Source organism: Homo sapiens, chromosome 17 (genome assembly GCF_000001405.40).
Source record: "Homo sapiens chromosome 17, GRCh38.p14 Primary Assembly".
In the NCBI taxonomy this organism is placed as follows: domain Eukaryota; kingdom Metazoa; phylum Chordata; class Mammalia; order Primates; family Hominidae; genus Homo; species Homo sapiens.
Window position 1 is genome coordinate 36,116,018 of NC_000017.11, and position 17,551 is coordinate 36,133,568.

The 17,551-nt window shown below is 43.6% G+C and overlaps 1 long non-coding RNA gene and 1 pseudogene across 2 annotated transcripts in view, besides 1 other annotated feature; one reads left to right on the plus strand and one right to left on the minus strand.

Annotated features, from left to right (window-relative positions):
• Positions 1-836: 836 nt before the first annotated feature.
• The window catches only part of LOC101927369 (uncharacterized), a 32,191-nt gene continuing 15,476 nt past the window's right edge, over positions 837-17,551 (minus strand). For both annotated transcript variants that reach the window (XR_243796.5, XR_007065728.1), the window contains one exon: positions 837-1,052. This is a non-coding gene — a long non-coding RNA (uncharacterized LOC101927369). The remainder of the gene's footprint in view (positions 1,053-17,551) is intronic.
• On the plus strand, positions 2,094-2,699 carry LOC100419980 (golgi membrane protein 1 pseudogene; annotated as a pseudogene).
• Positions 7,372-7,954: an enhancer, noted in NCBI's record as "OCT4-NANOG hESC enhancer chr17:34450775-34451357 (GRCh37/hg19 assembly coordinates)". NCBI's record gives its function as "activates a minimal SCP1, AML or CMV promoter by ChIP-STARR-seq in primed H9 embryonic stem cells {active_cell/tissue: H9 hESC(primed)}" and the evidence as "EXISTENCE:reporter gene assay evidence [ECO:0000049][PMID:30033119]".

Sequence of the window (17,551 nt, forward strand, 5' to 3'; positions counted from 1 at the left end):
ATCAGCTGCCAGTGAATATAAAGCAGGCAGAAAAACGTGAAAAGGAGAGATGGACCTAGCCTCACAGCCTACATCTTTCTCCCATGCTGGATGCTTCCTGCCTTTGAACATCGGACTCCAAGTTCTTCAGTCTGGGGACTTGGACTGGCCCTTCTTGCTCCTCAGCTTGCAGACAGCCTATTGTGGGACCTCGTGATCATGTAAGTTGATACTTAATAAATTCCCTTTATATCTGTCTATCTCTCTATCTATCTATCTCTCTATCTATCATCTATCTATCATCTATCCTATTAGTTCTGTCCCTCTAAGAGAACCCTGACTAATACAGTGGCCATGGAATAAAGCCTGCACTACTTGACACTCACTTTTGGTTTTGTATATTGGCTTCACAGCACTAAACGGGGAAAGACTCCATTTGTATGGGGACTGGCTTTGTTGGTAACATATCCATTTCCCTTTCCTAGAAGCAATGAATAATTGCTACCACTATTTTATGAACACATCTGGAGATTCCACAGCCTTTTAGAAGTGTCAGAGAATGGAACAACAAATGCAATAACAAGGATTGCCCAAATGATCAGGGCCTTAGGCTTCTAGCCTTTATCCTGAAAGTGCTTTAGCCCTCTCCTCCTAGAGGCCTAGATTTACAAAGCTCTTGACAGCTGTGCTCTGGGACAAATTGAATTCTGACATAAAACACTTTCTTGAGATTTGAAAATGCTACCTTTTCTCCCCTTTACTCTGTTCCCTAAACAAGGGGTTGCTGGAAACATCCTTGGTAAGTTTCATAAGATTGTCTGTTTCATATGATGCTTATAAATTTCATAGTCAATGACTTTGTTGTGCAAAAAAAAATGTAACTTTATTTTCTCCATAATTAAACTTAGCTTTTCAATCTCGATTTCTTTTGGTGGCAGAAATTTAATCTGACCAACAAGGTAAACAAAGTTTCTTGCTGCTGTTTTTTTTTCCAACTGAGAATCTTCCGTCTCCCATCCTTCTTCCTCTTCTCTTCTCCAGCTCTTCCCAGGGTCCCTCTGCATTCTGGAAGGCTGGAGAGTGATTGAGCAGTCAGGAGATGCAGGATTCTCACTCATGATTGACCCTGACCCCTGCTAGCCACTGATGAGGTGCATTTCAACTTTCTGGTCACTGCCGGCTCACTTGTCCTGCCATGTCCTCCTGGGTCAGGGCTGTGACTCTGTCCCCTTTGTCCCACCCTAAGCTTCTCTGAGCCTTCCAGGCCAGGGGCTACTTGGAAAGACTGGTGGTGTTCCCAGGCACACCTCCCTCCTGCTCCCCTGCACCTACAGTCCTCCCTCTTCCCAGGCAGGATGGACGCCCTATTGGGGTCATTCTCAGATGTCTAGCTTTCTGGCTCACATCTTTCACTTTATTCTCCCATGAATGTCTATCTGATTTTCTCTCAGTATGTGGGAAGCTAGTTCTTAAAAATTATCATTAATTCAAAAAATGCATATATTACTAATGGTATCATCCTTATCCCCATTGTCTTTGGGGGTTTAACCTTAGGAGCACCTTCTCCCTCCCACACTCAGATCCTTTCCTCTCAAAAAGTCCAGATCCTGAAATGCACTTTCAGAATGATTATGTCTGTTATGAGTTAAAAAAAAAAAAAAAAAAAAAAAGAGTACTGAGGAACTCAACTGACTTGTTTGTTTAAACTCTATTCACCCTCCCCTGCAGGCAGTGAGCATGGATGATGATGATTGCTGGCAAAACAGGGGAGTGGTAGTGAAGGTTAGAAAGCCAGGGACTGGGGACACTTGTGCTGCCAGGGTGTTCTCTGAGCAATGATGCTGCTTGTGGTGAATTCCCATTCACCTCCAGAATGGGTTTCTGGCTTTGCTGAGAAAGGCTTTTATTGGGTGTCATTAGTAATTCTGTCAAAGGTGGTGGGGAGGCGGGGAAACTTCCCATGCTAAGAATCAAATCAAGAAACCCTTTCTGGGGAATAATGAGAGCCACGTTCTTTCTAATGTGATATGAAAGCACTGAATATTTGTTACTGCTTTTACAGAAATGATTAATTCTCAATCTATGTCAGAGAGATTCTCAGTGCTGATTTTCAGATGATGGCATTGGGAAATAGGCATCACTGCATGAAGTTGCTACCCCTTGTGCAGGCCTCCCTGGTGGCCTGTGTCATTGTCGTGGGCTTCAACTGCTAGATTGTGAACTGCCCCCCACCGCCCCCACCCCCAGGGGTGGATCAGGTGCTGGAAGGCAGGGTCTGCAGGGTGGCCGTGGAGAGGGGTGTGGTGCAGCTGAAAAGGAATAAGCTCCAGGGAGGGCAGGAAAAGCAATGAGATCAGCTCAGCCAAATCTAGTCCAGCCACAGCTTTTAGCTGGAGAGCATTGACAAGCTGTCCCAGGATTAAAAGGGGGTTTTGTGAAGAACATCACTTGGGTGAGAGGCTCATAGGCATCCTGCAAGACCAGCTAAAGGCTACATAGGAATTACAGCAAGCTGCAGCAGGATGGCCTCCAGTTTCAGAAGGGCCACGCCAACTTGGAGAGCGATGCATCTGACCCAGTACATTGACTGAACGAAGGAGGCAAAGGAGCTATGTGAGGAGCCCACAGAAGAGGTCACCAAAAAGGGAAATGAAGCTGTAGCTTCCAGACACCTGAGTGGAAAAAAAGACCAGAGTCAGCAGCTCCAAGCCAAAAATAGAACACAAGCTCTCTTTCAAGTAAGGTGACAGTGGTGCTTGTTTATTCTTGAGTATAATTTTGTGTGAAAAAAAGCAGCCTGTAGGAAGAGTCCCTCTTCCACTGTGAAGGAGAGGCTGGTTGCAGGTAGAGAACTCTGTCTGGGTTCCCTCTGGAGTTCTCCTCTTCTCCACACATGGGGTAGAGCGCTGTTTCCAGCCTGTTATTCCTATTCTCACTGGTACCCACTGAATGACTATGTACTGTGCACTCCCGATTCTGACAATCAATGGTCTAGAACAGCAGTCCCCAGGCCCAGGCCACAGATTGGTACTGGTCCATGACCTGTTACGAACCGAGCCACACAGCAGAAGGTGAGTGGTGGGCGAGTGAGAAGCTTCATCTGTATTTACAGCCACTCCCCATTGCTGACATTACCACCTGAGCTCCGCCTCCTGTCAGGTCAGCCACAGCATTAGATTCTCATACAAGTGCAAACCCTATTGTGAACTGCGCATGCCAGGGATCCAGGTTGCACGCTCCTTATGAGAACCTAATGCCTGATGATCTGTCACTGTCTCCCATCACTCACAGATGGGACCATCAAGTTGCAGGAAAACAAGCTCAGGGCTCCCACTGATTCTACATTATGGTGAGTCGTATAATTATTTCATTATATATTACAATGTAACAATAATAGAAATAAAGTGCACAATAAATGTAATGCACTTGAATCATCCTGACACAATCCCCCATCCCTTAATCAGTGGATAAATTGTCTTCCATGAACCCTGTCCCTAGTGCCAAAAAGGTTGGAACCATTGGCCAAGAGCACTGACTTTTTTTTCTTTTATTTCAGTAGCTTTTGGGATACCAGTGGTTTTTGTTACATGGATGAATTATAAAGTGGCAAAATCTGAGATTTTAGTGCGCCTGTCACCTGAGTAGTGTATCTTGTACCTAATGTGTAGTTTTTTTTCCCTAGCCCCCCTCTCATCCTTCACCTTTTGAGTCTCTAAAGTGCATTATATCACCCGTTTGCCTTTGCATACTCAAAGCTTAGCTCTCACTTATAAGTGAGAACATACGGTTTTTGGCTTTCTGCTCCTGTGTTAATTCATTTAGAATAATGGCCTTCAGCTACACCCAACTTGCTGCAAAAGACATTATTTTGTTCTTTTTTATGGCTGAGTAGTATTCCATGGTGTATATATACCACGTTTTCTTTATCCACTCATTGGTCGATGGGCACTTAGGTTGGTTCTACATGTTAGCAATTGTGAATTACAGAGCACTGTTAACACAGACATTATTAGCAAGAGTTTTAAACAAGTCTAAATACAAAGCTGTTTGTGCAAGATTTTTTTAAAAGGCTACGTGTATAATAACCCTGTCATTTTAGTGTACTATTAAGTTATTTAGTATAATAGTGCAATATTAAGTTATTTGTAATTTGAAGATTTCTGATCTATACATACTTTGCTTCCTATGTGTGGGCAAAGCAAAATATGCTCTATTAAGTACATATTGCCAAGAAAAGCCATGAGTGTATTAGGCTTTTGATAAAAATGGGCCAAAAATGGGAATGCTTGCCACAGAGCACAGTGAGGGAGGGAGAGCATTGTGAGATGGATTTGTTGTGGAGAGATCTATGCCTACTTTACTAATAGAATAAAAGAAAGTTAATTTCTATTGATGGATTTATACAGTGTTACAAATCGGGAATGTTTAGAAAGGCAAGAGGAATACAATGATTGTTTTTGCCATGGTTTACACATTTAGCTTGTGGTAAATGACTCACAAAACTGATTTAAAAATCAAAGGTTGATGTTAATTTTGAAAATGACTATTTACGACACGGGCAAAGACTTCATGACTAAAACACCAAAAGCAGTTGCAACAAAAACCAAAATTGACAAATGGAATCTAATTAAACTAAAGAGCTTCTGCACAGCAAAGGAAACTATCATTAGAGTGAAAAGGCAACCTACAGAATGGGAGAAAATTTTTGCAATCTATCTCTCTGACAAAGTTCTAATATTCAGAATCTACAAAGAACTCAAACAAATTTACAAGAAAAAAACAAAAAACCCCATCAAAAAGTGGGTGAAGGATATGAACAAACACTTCTCAAAAGAAGACATTTATGAAGCCAACAAACATATGAAAAAAGCTCATCATCAGTGCTCATTAGAGAAATGCAAATCAAAACCACAATGAGATACCATCTCACACCAGTTAGAATGGTGATCATTAAAAAGTCAAGAAACAATAGATGCTGGCGAGGCTGTGGAGAAATAGGAACACTTTTACACTGCTGGTGGGAGTGTAAATCAGTTCAACCATTGTGGAAGACAGTGTGGCGATTCCTCAAGGGTCTAGAACCAGAAATACCATTTGACCCAGCAATTCCATTACTGGGTACATGCCCGAAGGATTATAAATCATTCTACTATAAAGACACATGCACACATATGTTTGTTGCAGCACTATGTACAATAGCAAAGACATGGAACCAACCCAAATTGCCATCAACGATAGAAGGGATAAAGAAAATGTGGCATATAAACACCCTGGAATACTACGCAGCCATAAAAAATGAGTTCATGTCCTTTACAGGGACGTGGATGAAGCTGGAAACCATCATCCTCAGCAAACTAACACAGGAACAGAAAACCAAACACCTCATGTTCTCACTTGTACGTGGGAGTTGAACAGTGAGAACACATGGACACAGGGAGGGGAACATCACACACCAGGGCCTGTTAGTCGGTGGGAGGCAAGGGGAGAGAGCATTAGGACAAGTATCTAATGCATGCTGGGCTTAAAACCTAGTGGATGGGTTGATAGATGCAGCAAACCAAACCACCATGGCACATGTATACTTGTGTAACAAACCTGGACATTCTGCACATGTATCCCAGAACTTAAAGTAAAATAATAATAATTTAAAAAAAAAAAGAAAATGACTATTTAATCATAGTTCCCAATGAAAACAATGACATTTGGTTTGACTTGAGTTGGTTTCGAAGATTTACAGTAAATAGGCTCTTACCACTTGTGAATGACTGGCAAGTTTGCACTAATGACTTTCTTCCAATGAGGCTCTCTACAGGAAAAGTGGAAGGATCCACGCAGTTTGAGATGCAGGGGCCTCTCTGGGCTTCAGAGAGGAAATGGAGCCCAGAGAAGTTATGGAGCATCCAGTTGGTGAGCTGTAGCACCGGGATTCACAGCAGGCTGTGCCACCTCCCTGTGCCCTGTGACCACTGAGAGCAGGCCCTGTTTGCACGCATGTGGCGATCTCCAATTTCAGTGTTCTCCCCGTGATATCTCTTTACCCAGTCACTAGGATTTAATGTTTCCACTCAGAAAAGGCAACTGAAGAAGAGTGTATTAGTGAGGGTTCTCTAGAGGGACAGAACTAATGGAATAGCTATATATATAAAGAAGAGTATATTCAATATTAACTCAAATGATCACAAGGTCCCACAATAGGCCATCTGCAGGCTGAGAAGCAAGGAGAGACAGTCTGAGTTCTGAAACTGAAGAACTTGGAGTCTGATGTTCAAGGGCAGGAAGCATCCAGCATGGGAGAAAGATGTAGGCTGGGAGGCTAGGCCAGTCTCTCTTTTCACATTTTCTGCCTGCTCATATTCTAGCCATGCTGGCAGCTGATTAGATTGTGCCCACCCAGGTTAAGGGTGGGTCTGCCTTTCCCAGCCTACTGACTCAAATCTTTATCTCCTTTGGCAACACCCTCCCAGACACACCCAGGATCGATACTTTGTATCCTTCAATCCAATCAAGTTGACCCTCAGTATTAACCGTCACAAAGAGTACGAATGCAGCTCTATAAAATTTTCTCTAAATCCTTTTCCAGCCTCCTTTTGTGTCCCAGTCTTGGGGATGATATGAATTCTGTCTTGCTTTCCAATTAATAATGTCTCTATTCATCTCATGTTTAATTAGTGCACATGGAGTTACTGAGAAATAAAATACGCTGTTAGTTCAACTAAAAAAAAAAAAAAGAAAGTAGGAGAGTGAGAGAAATATTACCTGGCACATGCTTTAAGTAACACAGAAAGGCAAACAGCCCCACCTGTGTTAAAGGACTTCCTTGGGCAGATCTTTGCCATCTGACTTTTTAAATTTCACTGTCTCTGACCTTTCAAAGTCTCATGCTGGGTGACACTATATCTTGGTGCCCATCCTCACTTTCTCATGAAACAGGACAAAGATGTAATCTGATCAACATCTGGGGCTGGTGTGCAGTTAGGCGTTGGAAGGATTTGACAGGAATAGGAAGTGATTATCTGCAATATAAAATTCCAGGAAAAATAGAATTCCAGCATATTCAGGAGTCTAAACACAGAAGCCATTGCATGCCTAAGGTCCCACAAGCCAGCCTGAAAAAAAAGCAATGAAACTTTGATGGCTCCAGATATGAAGGATGAGGTTTGTGGACTGAGGACATCCAGGGATTCCCAACGTCTGCTCAGTCTTCTCTTAATTTTTTATACATGTGTGACGGCTGCTGTGGATACCTAGCCCTTTCAAATGATATGTTATAAGACCTTGCCAAATGCCCAAATTTGTGATTGTCAGCAGAGCTCTGGAAATCTTTTAATGGGAACACTGTTTTGTTTTTCACAAAGAAATAGAGCTTTTATGAAGTCGGTAGAGCGTCTGCTCATTCCCGCATGCAGGAACAGCATCTGGGAGCTTTACCCAAACCCCAGCCTTGGAGATTCCACATCAGTGGGCCTGAGGTGGGCTTGAAGCATTTGTAAGGTGTGGACTTCCTTTGAGCTTCAGTTTCTTCATTTGTGACATGGGGATTCCAATGGAAATGACCCCACAGGCTAGCAGGGCTTCAGGGAGATGACAGGTATAAAATGCAAGCCGGGGGCCTAACCTACAAGTGCATACTTAACAAAAGTCAACTGTTGTCATTATCATTCCCTCCTTAGCAATACTGCAGCTAAGTGATTGAAATGCATGCCTCAGCAAAACTATCACAGGCCATGAATACCCTATGCTGCATATTGGAAACTGCAAATGCTGGAGAAGCAAACGCCAGGTGCTATTGTCTTACACAGTTTCTGCTAATTAATTTCTTTATCTAATTGTTGTGAGAGTTATTTGCTCGATATTCGCAATTGGGGTAGGTCTTAAGCCTACTCCCTTTTCCAGGGGGAAAAGGGAAGTAGCTTTCAAGAATACAAAGCAAGAAATAGTCCACTAAAAATTTAACTTGGGAAAGCAAGGTAATAAATATATTGGGCTAATGTGTGAGAAATCGGTGTCTCCTTCACTGTGGGTGGAAGTGTAAGTTGATGTAGTCTTTCTGGAGAACAACTTGGCAATATCTTCCCACTGTACAGTAGGTACATCCTTTCTATTTTCACATATAGGCATTCTGGGGAAATACTGATGTATATAGACAAAGAAGCATGCATGAAATCATCAGTATAGTATTGTTTGTGATAGCAAAAAGACTAGAAGCCACCTAAATGTGCAAGAATTGGAGCTTGGATAAATAAAATATGAGCCATTCATATGATGGGATTTTTAGATAACAGGGTTTTTTTGAGATGGGGTCTTGCTCTGTTGTTGCTCAGACTGGAGTGCAGTGGCATGATCATGGCTCACATAGCCTCGACCTCCCAGGCTCAAATGATCTTCCCATTTCAGCCTCTCAAGTAGCTGGGACAGGCGTGCCACCATGCCCAGCTAATTTTTAAATTTTTTGTAGAGATGGTGTCTCACTATGTTGCCCTCATGGCTGGTTTTGAACTCCTGGGCTCAGGCAGTCCTCCTGCTTCATCTTCCCAAAATGCTGGGATGATAGGCATGAGTCACCACACTGAGCTGGCACTTATTTTTTTAAAAAGGAAAAAAAAGACACTACCCTGGAAAGTTCTCCAAGATATAACATTAAGTAAATAAAGCAAAATAATACATATAACTTCATTTATGCAAAAAAAGTAAATTTTGTATACACACATGTGTGCATGTAAAAGCATAGGAAAAGGCCTTAGAAAAACACACAGCAAACTGCTAATACTGATAATATTAACGACCTCCCAGTAGGTCATTCTGCATGTCTATATTGTTTGAATTGTTCATCACACGAGTTCATTGATGTGTTTCTTGTATAAAAATTAACTTTTAAAGATTATGTTACCTAAGTTAACATGATCCTATTTAGGTCACTTTTAGAGAGGGGCATGGGAGCCCTCCCCTGGCTGACAGTGCTCCAGAGGGTCCTCCTGCAGGCTCTTTGGGGCTGTTCTGCCTGGCCCCACTCCCTCACCAAGGCCAGGCTACTCATCAGCCTAGAATCCAGGCAGCCACTTTGCAGTTGGATTTGGGCTTGCCCTTTGCTGTCCTCTGTGCTGTCTGGGGACATTGCCCTCCGTCCTGTACTGCGTTGCTGACACAGGATTTTTCAGAGCTGCGTAGCCAGCTGGAGACCTCCATGGCTGGTGATACCCCTGCCTGGGCCTCACTTGGCCCCGGGCTCACCACAGGAGCTACCTCACCCACTCGGCCCAGCGGGCTGTGCTTGGCTTGTGCTCCTGCTTGGATCCTGTGCTCACCGCAGGATCCACACTAAGCCTGCAGGTGGGCTTGGCTTGCCACAACCTGCTTCCACCTTGGGCACCAATGTCTGGCTGAGAGGAATGCAATGGTGCATGAATGGGGATGCGAGCAACCCTAAAGCCCCAGAGGGAGTGTTACAGCAGGCTAACAGCTCTTTTAGTCCCATTGTCCCACTCCAATCCATGGCTCCAGGGCTGGCCTGGCTCCAGCACTGCTTCCTGTCACATGGGGCGGTTGCCTTCCACCAGCAGAGGGCAGAGAACCACAGTGTTATAGCCTTTGTTGTACTTGCATTTGGCAGGTCCCAAGTTCTTGTCCCACATCCAAGAAGAATGAGGTTATGCTGACAACCAAAGGATGAGGAGAGTTTTATTGAGTGACAGCTCTCAGCAAAGAGAGGACCTAAGAGGGCAGTCCCCTCTCCAAAGTTGGATGGTCTCTTCCTGACTGAAGGTGGGCAGTCCCCCAGTGTGGCTGAGTCCAAGGCTTTTATGGGCTCAGAATGGGGTAGTGTGTGCTGATTGGTTTGTGAGTATGCAAGAAAGGCTAAAACAAAGGCACCACTCAAAGGTGGGCACAGCAGTGTAAAAAATCAATTAGGGAAGTGTAGGTATATGTAAAATAGGTGAAGGGTGGGGATCAATTAGAGGAAAGTGTGCCAAATGGGAAGAGAGGTTCCCAGTCTGGTCTATGGATTTATCTAAGACTCGTAGCTTGGCTTTCAGGCTTTAAACCGTCTCTGGTTTGAAGACGGGGTTTCACTGGGGACCCACCCCTGTCTGCCTAGGGATTTGTCTGCCTCCTGTAGCTATCACTGCTCCATCTCCAGGTGCCCTGGTCCCTTCTTCAGACTGAGTCATCCTTCCTGGGTGCTTGCAAATTTAGCACCTCCAAAGATTCTGAGATGCCAATGTGAACTAACTACCAGGGGTGTTCAGTCTGAGCCCTTCTCTTGGCTTGCCTAGTATTTCTTTGCTGCTAGGGTATATTGTCTTGTCCAGGCCCCCCATAGATGGTCATGAGTGCTTGTCACAGCTCCAACCACCAATGACAAAGCAGGCTTTGTATTCGTCTCCTTCTTCTTCTTCTTTTTTTTCTTTTTCTGAGACAGAGTCTTGCTCTGTTGCCCAGGCTGGAGTGCAATGGTGCGATCTTGGCTCACCACAACCTCTGCCTCCCGGGTTCAAGCAATTCTCCTGCCTCAGCCTCCCAAGTAGCTGGGACTACAGGCGTGTGCCACCATGCCCAGTTAATTTTTGTATTTTTAGTAGAGACAGGGTTTCTCTATGTTGGCCAGGCTGGTCTCGAAATCCTGACCTCATGATTCACCTGCCTTGGCCTCCCAAAGTGCTGGGATTACAGACGTGAGCCACCGTGTCTGGCCTCACCTCCTTTGACTGTCATTGGGGTTTTACCTCCACATCTCTTTCACTGAGATTCTGTAATTTGGGGAGGAGAGAGGGCAGGCATCCTACTCAGGCTTGTGTGGAACATTTAGTGTTCTTCTCTTGTTATTTTGTTCACTCTTTAGCTCACTGAAGCAGCATTTCCTCTAGGAACCTCTGAGTACAAAGCAGAGGTCAGAGACCACCAGGCATCAGGGTAGACTCTGTCTCTCAACCTTCTAGGCCCTCAGCCAGCTTGCAACCTTTGAACACCCATCTTCTCAGGGAGTGACTTCACTACCCACCTGTTACTGCCCCTGCAGTTAAGCGGCAGCCCGAATTTCATACCTGCATAGGGATCTCAGCTGGGGGGTTGGTCAGCGGCTTCCAAGCACACTTTCAACATCTCTCCCAGAAGCTCTTCAAATCCTCTTGTCACTGAACCTCCAGGAGGCCCCAGATGGCCCCCAGCACACTACACCTGGCTTCATAGCTTACGCATTCACTCTGATTTTCTAAATGACACAGAGACGATTCATTTCTTTGGCCACTTTTCCTAAAGGTACCAGGAACATCCATGCCTTGTTGGGATTAGCAAAGTGCTAAAAAGTGTTCTTAAATGTCTCATGTTTGGCGATTACATCTCCAAGAAACCACTACTGTAATTAGAGAGAAACCAGCTGTGAGATAGAACAGGAACTGGCTCACCTGGGGGCACTCCCTGGAGACCTCGTATTTGTGTATACTTCCTGCCCTACTGTTTCTGCTCTGCCTTCCTTTCTGGTGACATTGAGGGTACAAATTGTTCCAGGTGTGTGCAGCACATCAAAGCCTAACTGGAAGAAGGCACAGTCTTCATTTTGGTGGCTTTTATCACCATGAGGATGAGGTGACCTGTGCTCACAGTCCTCCTTTCAGGATCGAGGGGAGCAGAGAAGTTTCCAGGCCGAGCCGTAGGCCTGGGGATCATCTGACACAGAGGCAGGCTGTGTCCCCACTGCATTCATCAGACCCACTTCCTTTGACCTACAAGAGGGATCACCCTGCATTTTCCATCCTTCTCATCAGATTGGGTTGGGTCTGACCGAAGTTGGATGTGGAGAGTAGGGTCACTCCTCTAGGTGGGGGATGTGCCCTCCATGTGGGAATCCAAGAGGGAGCAGCTCTGAGGTGAACACAAGGTATGTGCAGGGTGGGAAGATGGCTTGCTCTGAGCAGAGATTTTATAATATCTTCTTATGAGATGGAAAGAAGGGGGTTATGACAACGCAAATTTCATTCCTGCCAAGACTCTACAGACTTCAGAGCAGAGAGAATATTCTCCCAAGGGCCAGACTGTGAAAATGGGGAACTTAGAGTGAGAGTGGAATTGAAGAAGCTGAGGGAAGAACACAGAAGCGTGAAGGAAGAAATGGGACTCCTGCTGACAGTGAGGGCTCCTCATTGGCCAGCAGATCAGCATGCTGGTATTGCTGGTCTCTCCAGCCCACCATGACGTTATCGCATCATTCTGACTCTGCAGGACAGGCACAGCTGCTGTCTTCCTTACAGCCGAAGTCTTCCTCGGACTTAGTGAGGAAGGAACAGAGCACAACCAAAAAGCTTTCCATCTTATAGCCCAATGTCCTATGTCTTGCTCTATTTGGTTCATTAAATCTGATTCATCCAGACTATCTTGTGAAGTTTGTATCTTTCTTTGACATCAGTTATGATCCTCAGATGTCTTGGAAGCCCCCAGGAGCTCATGCTCCCCTGGAGATAGCAGCTTCTGTGGCTACTCAAATGTAATTTAGGGGAAAGGCTAAAATAAGTGAAGTCCTTACTTGTGCCCTTCCTGGCAATTTTGATGGGGGATGGGGCATACCACAGAACAGCCCAGCCTCTGTCTGTGGTACCCTGAGGCTTTCCTGCTCCAGGCTTTAGTGCCCCTTCCTATGCCAAAACAAACATGCCAGGATTTCTCCCCAGGATTGCTCACAATCTTTATAGCCACTGTTCGGGGTTCCAGGGAATATCCAAAGAAGCTATGAGTAACCTCATGACGATGGAAGTAGAGTGGCCTTGCTAACTGCTGACCTCCTTCTCCAGGAGGAACGGTTACACCTGCAGTTGACTCTAGCTTTAACGGCTGAGAGAATAAACACAGGCACACCTCATTTTATTGCTACCTCACTTTGTTGCACTTCACAGATACTGCACTTTTTTACAAATTGAAGGTTTGTGGCAACCTTGCATTGAGCAAGTCCATCAGTACTATTTTTTCCCAACAGCATGTGTTTACTCTGTGTCTCCAGTAATTCTCTCAATATTTCAAATTTTTCATTACTATTATGTGTTATGGTGGTCTGGGGTTAGTGATCTTTGATGTTATTATTGTAATTGTTTTGGGGTATCACAAACCATGCTCATGTAAGACAGTGTACTTAACCCATAAATGCTGTGTGTGTTCGGACTGCTCCACACACCAGCTGTTCTCCCATCTCTCCCCTTCTCCTCAGACCTCCTTATTCCCTTAAACACAAAAATATTGAAATGAGGCCAATGAATAACCCTACAATGACCTCTAAGTGTTCAAGTGAAAGGAAGAGTCTCACATCTCTTACTTTAAATCAAAAGTTAGAAATGCATAAGCTTACTGAAGAAGGCATGTTGAAAGCTGAGACAGGCTGAAAGCTAAGCCTCTTGCACCTGAGAGTCAAGTTGTGAATGCAAAGGAAAAGTTCCTGAAGGAAATTAAAAGTGTTACTCCAGTGAATATACAAATGATACAAAAGCAAAGCAGTCTTAACTGCTGATATGGAGGAAGTTCGAGTGTCCTGGATAGAAGATCAAACCAGCCACAACATTCCCTTAAGCCAAAACCTAATCAAAGCCCTACCTGTCTTCAACTCTGTCAAGGCTGAGAGAAGTAAGGAGGCTGCAGAAGATAAGTTTGAAGCCAGCAGAGATTGGCTCATGAGGTTTAAGGGAAGAAGATAGAGATGTACAAGTCGTCTCCATAACATAAAAGTGCAAGGTGAAACAGTAAGTGCTGATGGAGAAGCTGCAGCAAGTTATTCAGAACATCTGGCTAAGATCATTGATGAAGGTGGCTATACTAAAGAACAGATTTTCAGTGAAGACAAAAGAGCCTTCTGTTGGAAGAAGATGCAATCTAGGAATATTTTATTGCTAGAAAGAACTCAATGCCTGGCCTCAAAACTTCAAAGAATAGGCTGACTCTTGCTAAGAGCTAATGCAGCTGGTGACTTTAAGTTAAAGCCAGTGCTCATTTAGCATTTCACAAATCCTAGGAGCCTTAAGAATTATCCTAAATCTACTCTGCCCATGCTCTAAAAATGGAAAAATAAAGCCTAAACTACATCACATCTGTTGACATCATGATTCACTGAATATTTTAAGCCCACTATTGAAACCCACTACTCAGAAAGAAAGATTCCTTTCAAAATATTACTGCTCATTGACAATGCACCTGGTCACCCAAAAGCTCTGATAGAGGTGTACAAGGAGATGAATGCTCTTTTCATGCCTGCTAACACAACATCCATTCTGTAGTCCATGGATCAAGGAGTAATTTTGACTTCCTAGTCTTATTATTTAAGAAATCCACTTTGTAAGGCCAGAGCTGCCATAGATAGTGATTCCTCTGATGGGTCTGGGCTGTAAATTAAAAACCTTCTGGAAAGGATTCACCATTCCAGGTGCCATTAAGAACATTTGTGATTCACGGGATGAGGTCAAAATATCAACTTTAAGAGGAGTTTGGAAGTTTATTCCAGCCCTAGTGGATGACTTCAGTGGAGGAAGTCACCGCATATGTGGTAAAAATAGAAAGAGAACTAGAATTAGAAGTGGAGCCTGGAGATGTGACTGAATTGTTGCAATCTCCTGATAAAACTCGAATGAATGAGAAGTTGCTTCTTATGGATGAGCAAAGAAAGTTTTTTTTTTTTTTTTTGAGATGGAATCTACTCCTGTTACAGACGCTGCGACATTATTGGAATGACAACAAAAGACTGAGAATATTACACAAGCTTAGTTGATAAAGCAGCAGCAGGGTCTGTGAGAGGATTGATTCCAGTTTTGAAAGAAGTTCTGCTGGAGGCAAAATGCTATCAAGCAGCAGTGTATGCTACAGATAAATCTTTCATTAAAGGAAGGGTCAATCAATGTGGCAAACTTTATTGTTGTCCCACTTTAAGAAATCATCGGTGGGGCCTGGTGGCTCATGCCTGGAATCCCAGTATTTGTGGGGGCCAAGGTGGGCCAATCACTTGAGGCCAGGAGTTCAAGACCAGCCTGGCCAACATGGTAAAACCTCGTCTCTACCAAAAATACAAAAATTAGCCAGACGTGGTGGCACGTGCCTCTAATCCCAGCTACTCAGGAGGGTGAGGCGGGAGAATCGCTTGAATCTGGGAGGGGGAGGTTGCAGTGAGCTGAGATTAAGCCACTGCACTCTAGCCTGGGTGACAGAGTGAGACTTCATCAAAAAAAAGAAAAGAAAGAAAGAAAGAAAAAAAAAAAAAGAAATCACCACAGCCACCCCAACCTTTAGCAACCACCACCCTGATCAGTCAGCAACCATCAACATGGAGGCAAGACCCCCCAGCAGCAAAAAAAAAAAAAAAAAAAAAAAAAAAAAGAATTGCTGAAGGCTCAGATAATTGTTAGCAGTTTTAGCACTAAAGTATTTTTTAGATATAATACTATTGCACACTTAATAGTCTATAATGTAGTGTGAACATAACTTTTATATGTAAAGGGAAACTAAAAAAAAAAAACGTGTGACTCAATTTATTGTGATATTTGCTTTGTTGCAGTGGTATGGAACTGAATCTGCAATTTCTCCAAGATATGGCTGCAGTTGGATAACTTCCCTCCCTACGTACTCTTCCTATAACATACATAATTGTAAATTACATAAGCCCCTTTCCTTCCCCTGCCACTTGGTGGCTGGCTGACCACAAGAGCACCCATTATTCCCTTCTCTTTCTCAATGAACAGGATCCTGCCTTAGTCTAACACTGCTGAATGAGATTGTCTGTTTAATTCTGATTCTTAATATTTGTAATCTAAATTTTCTAAAGGTATTAGCTATGTCCTTCAAGTGAGATTTTTTATCAATGATAAAGGTAATATTTTGTCCCTCCTCTGCTGACTCCTTTGTAGGCTTCTCATTTGGTTCAAAACTCAGGCAGTGATAAAATGGTGTTATTATTGGGCCCTCTCAAAAACTGAAAGAGTGATGTTAATTGGTTTGTAATTTTAATGACGGCTGCCCTTTAAGGTGGGTTCTCTTTACTAGAGCCAATAAATTGATCTCCTGGTATCTGGAATGTTGCCAGCTATACATCTGGATATTTGCAATTCTAAGCCTAAATATCAGAAGCAAAAAGTTAAGTGTTTTCACCTTGCAGGGCTATCAGTATACTTTCGCTATCTTGCTTCATGGTCAGTTACTTCTGTGGCTCAATGACGGAATCTAGATTACAGTGATGTTAACCACTTCACCATCCCATTGAATATCCATCTGATCTAGTACATTTATGGCATTGTGCTGACAGGGCCTGGAGACAGATGAGGCAGATACCCTAGATGTTTTGGCAGGTCACATTAATTTCTTGGGATGAAACATAAATTTTATAAAAATTCAGGAAATTACTATCTCATGGAGGTTCCCCATGGGAGATGAAGTATCCCTGTGATCTAAACTTAACAAAATATTAGCTTTGAGTTATGTCAAGAAAAACCAATGTCTCTCTGGTTGACTCAAACTGAAATTTGTGTAGCTCTGACTCTTGGCCCTCATAAACCAATAGGTCTTTGATACACAAAATGTCTGGAGTTGCTCAGGAATGCTGTATAGAACCGGAAAACCCTGACAGAAGAATCACAGTGAAAGCCCCTAGGGTTTTGGAGCAAGTTCCTGTTCTCTGTGGAAAGTACCTACTCTTTTTTGTAGAACTAGCTAAAACTCTGAAAAGACTGAATGCCCAACCATTCATGTGTGACATTACCACCCATGTGAGCTGGGTGTTATCTGATCCACTTAGCCATCAAGTAGGGCATGTCCAGCAACACCCCGTCAAATGGAAAAGCTAAAAGTGTGACTGGGCCTGAGCAGACCCCAAGGCAGAAATGATCTGTGTGAATAGGTTGCTCACAGTCTCTGTGTATTTACTCCTGCCTCAATGTTATCTCTTCCTCAACCCATACTAAGTCCTGTGGTGAGAGGAGAACTCTCTCCAATTACTCCCAGTATTAGTTGATTCTGGGGCAGGGAGGACTGTGAGAACATAGCACCCTTTGAGCATTTGTAGGAGTTCACAGTTCTGGGAGCTAACCAGGCAAAAGGTTTTTATGCAAATAACTGAAACTGACCCTACTTATTGGAATGTTAAGAGTAGCATGGAAAATTGATAGGAAGGTGTGATAGGCAGCAAACAAAGGCGTCGGGCAATACAGAATATAGCTATGTACATGTCCATACAGCAAGAAGACTCTGACATGTGCCAATGCTGTATTAATACCCTGAATACTCACCACCACTGCTGGACTCCTGGCTGCATCAGCACTGCTGGGAATATTCCCAAACTCTGCCTGCATATTCGTACATTCCCTTGGATTCAAACCCTACCTAATATAATGCAGGTACTGCTGCATATGCCCCTGTACTACTGAAAATCCACTCATCTTGTCCCCAAAGACAGCCCAATACTTGCTATTTTCATTCAGCTCCAAGTTCAGGATCTCCTGATAGTGCCCACTTCATCTCTTGTTCTTTTGTGATCCTGTACTGATATTTCATATCCTATGAAATATACTAAAAGTCAACCACCACTAACTCACCTAGTTATAATAGTGAGAAAATGGGAGAA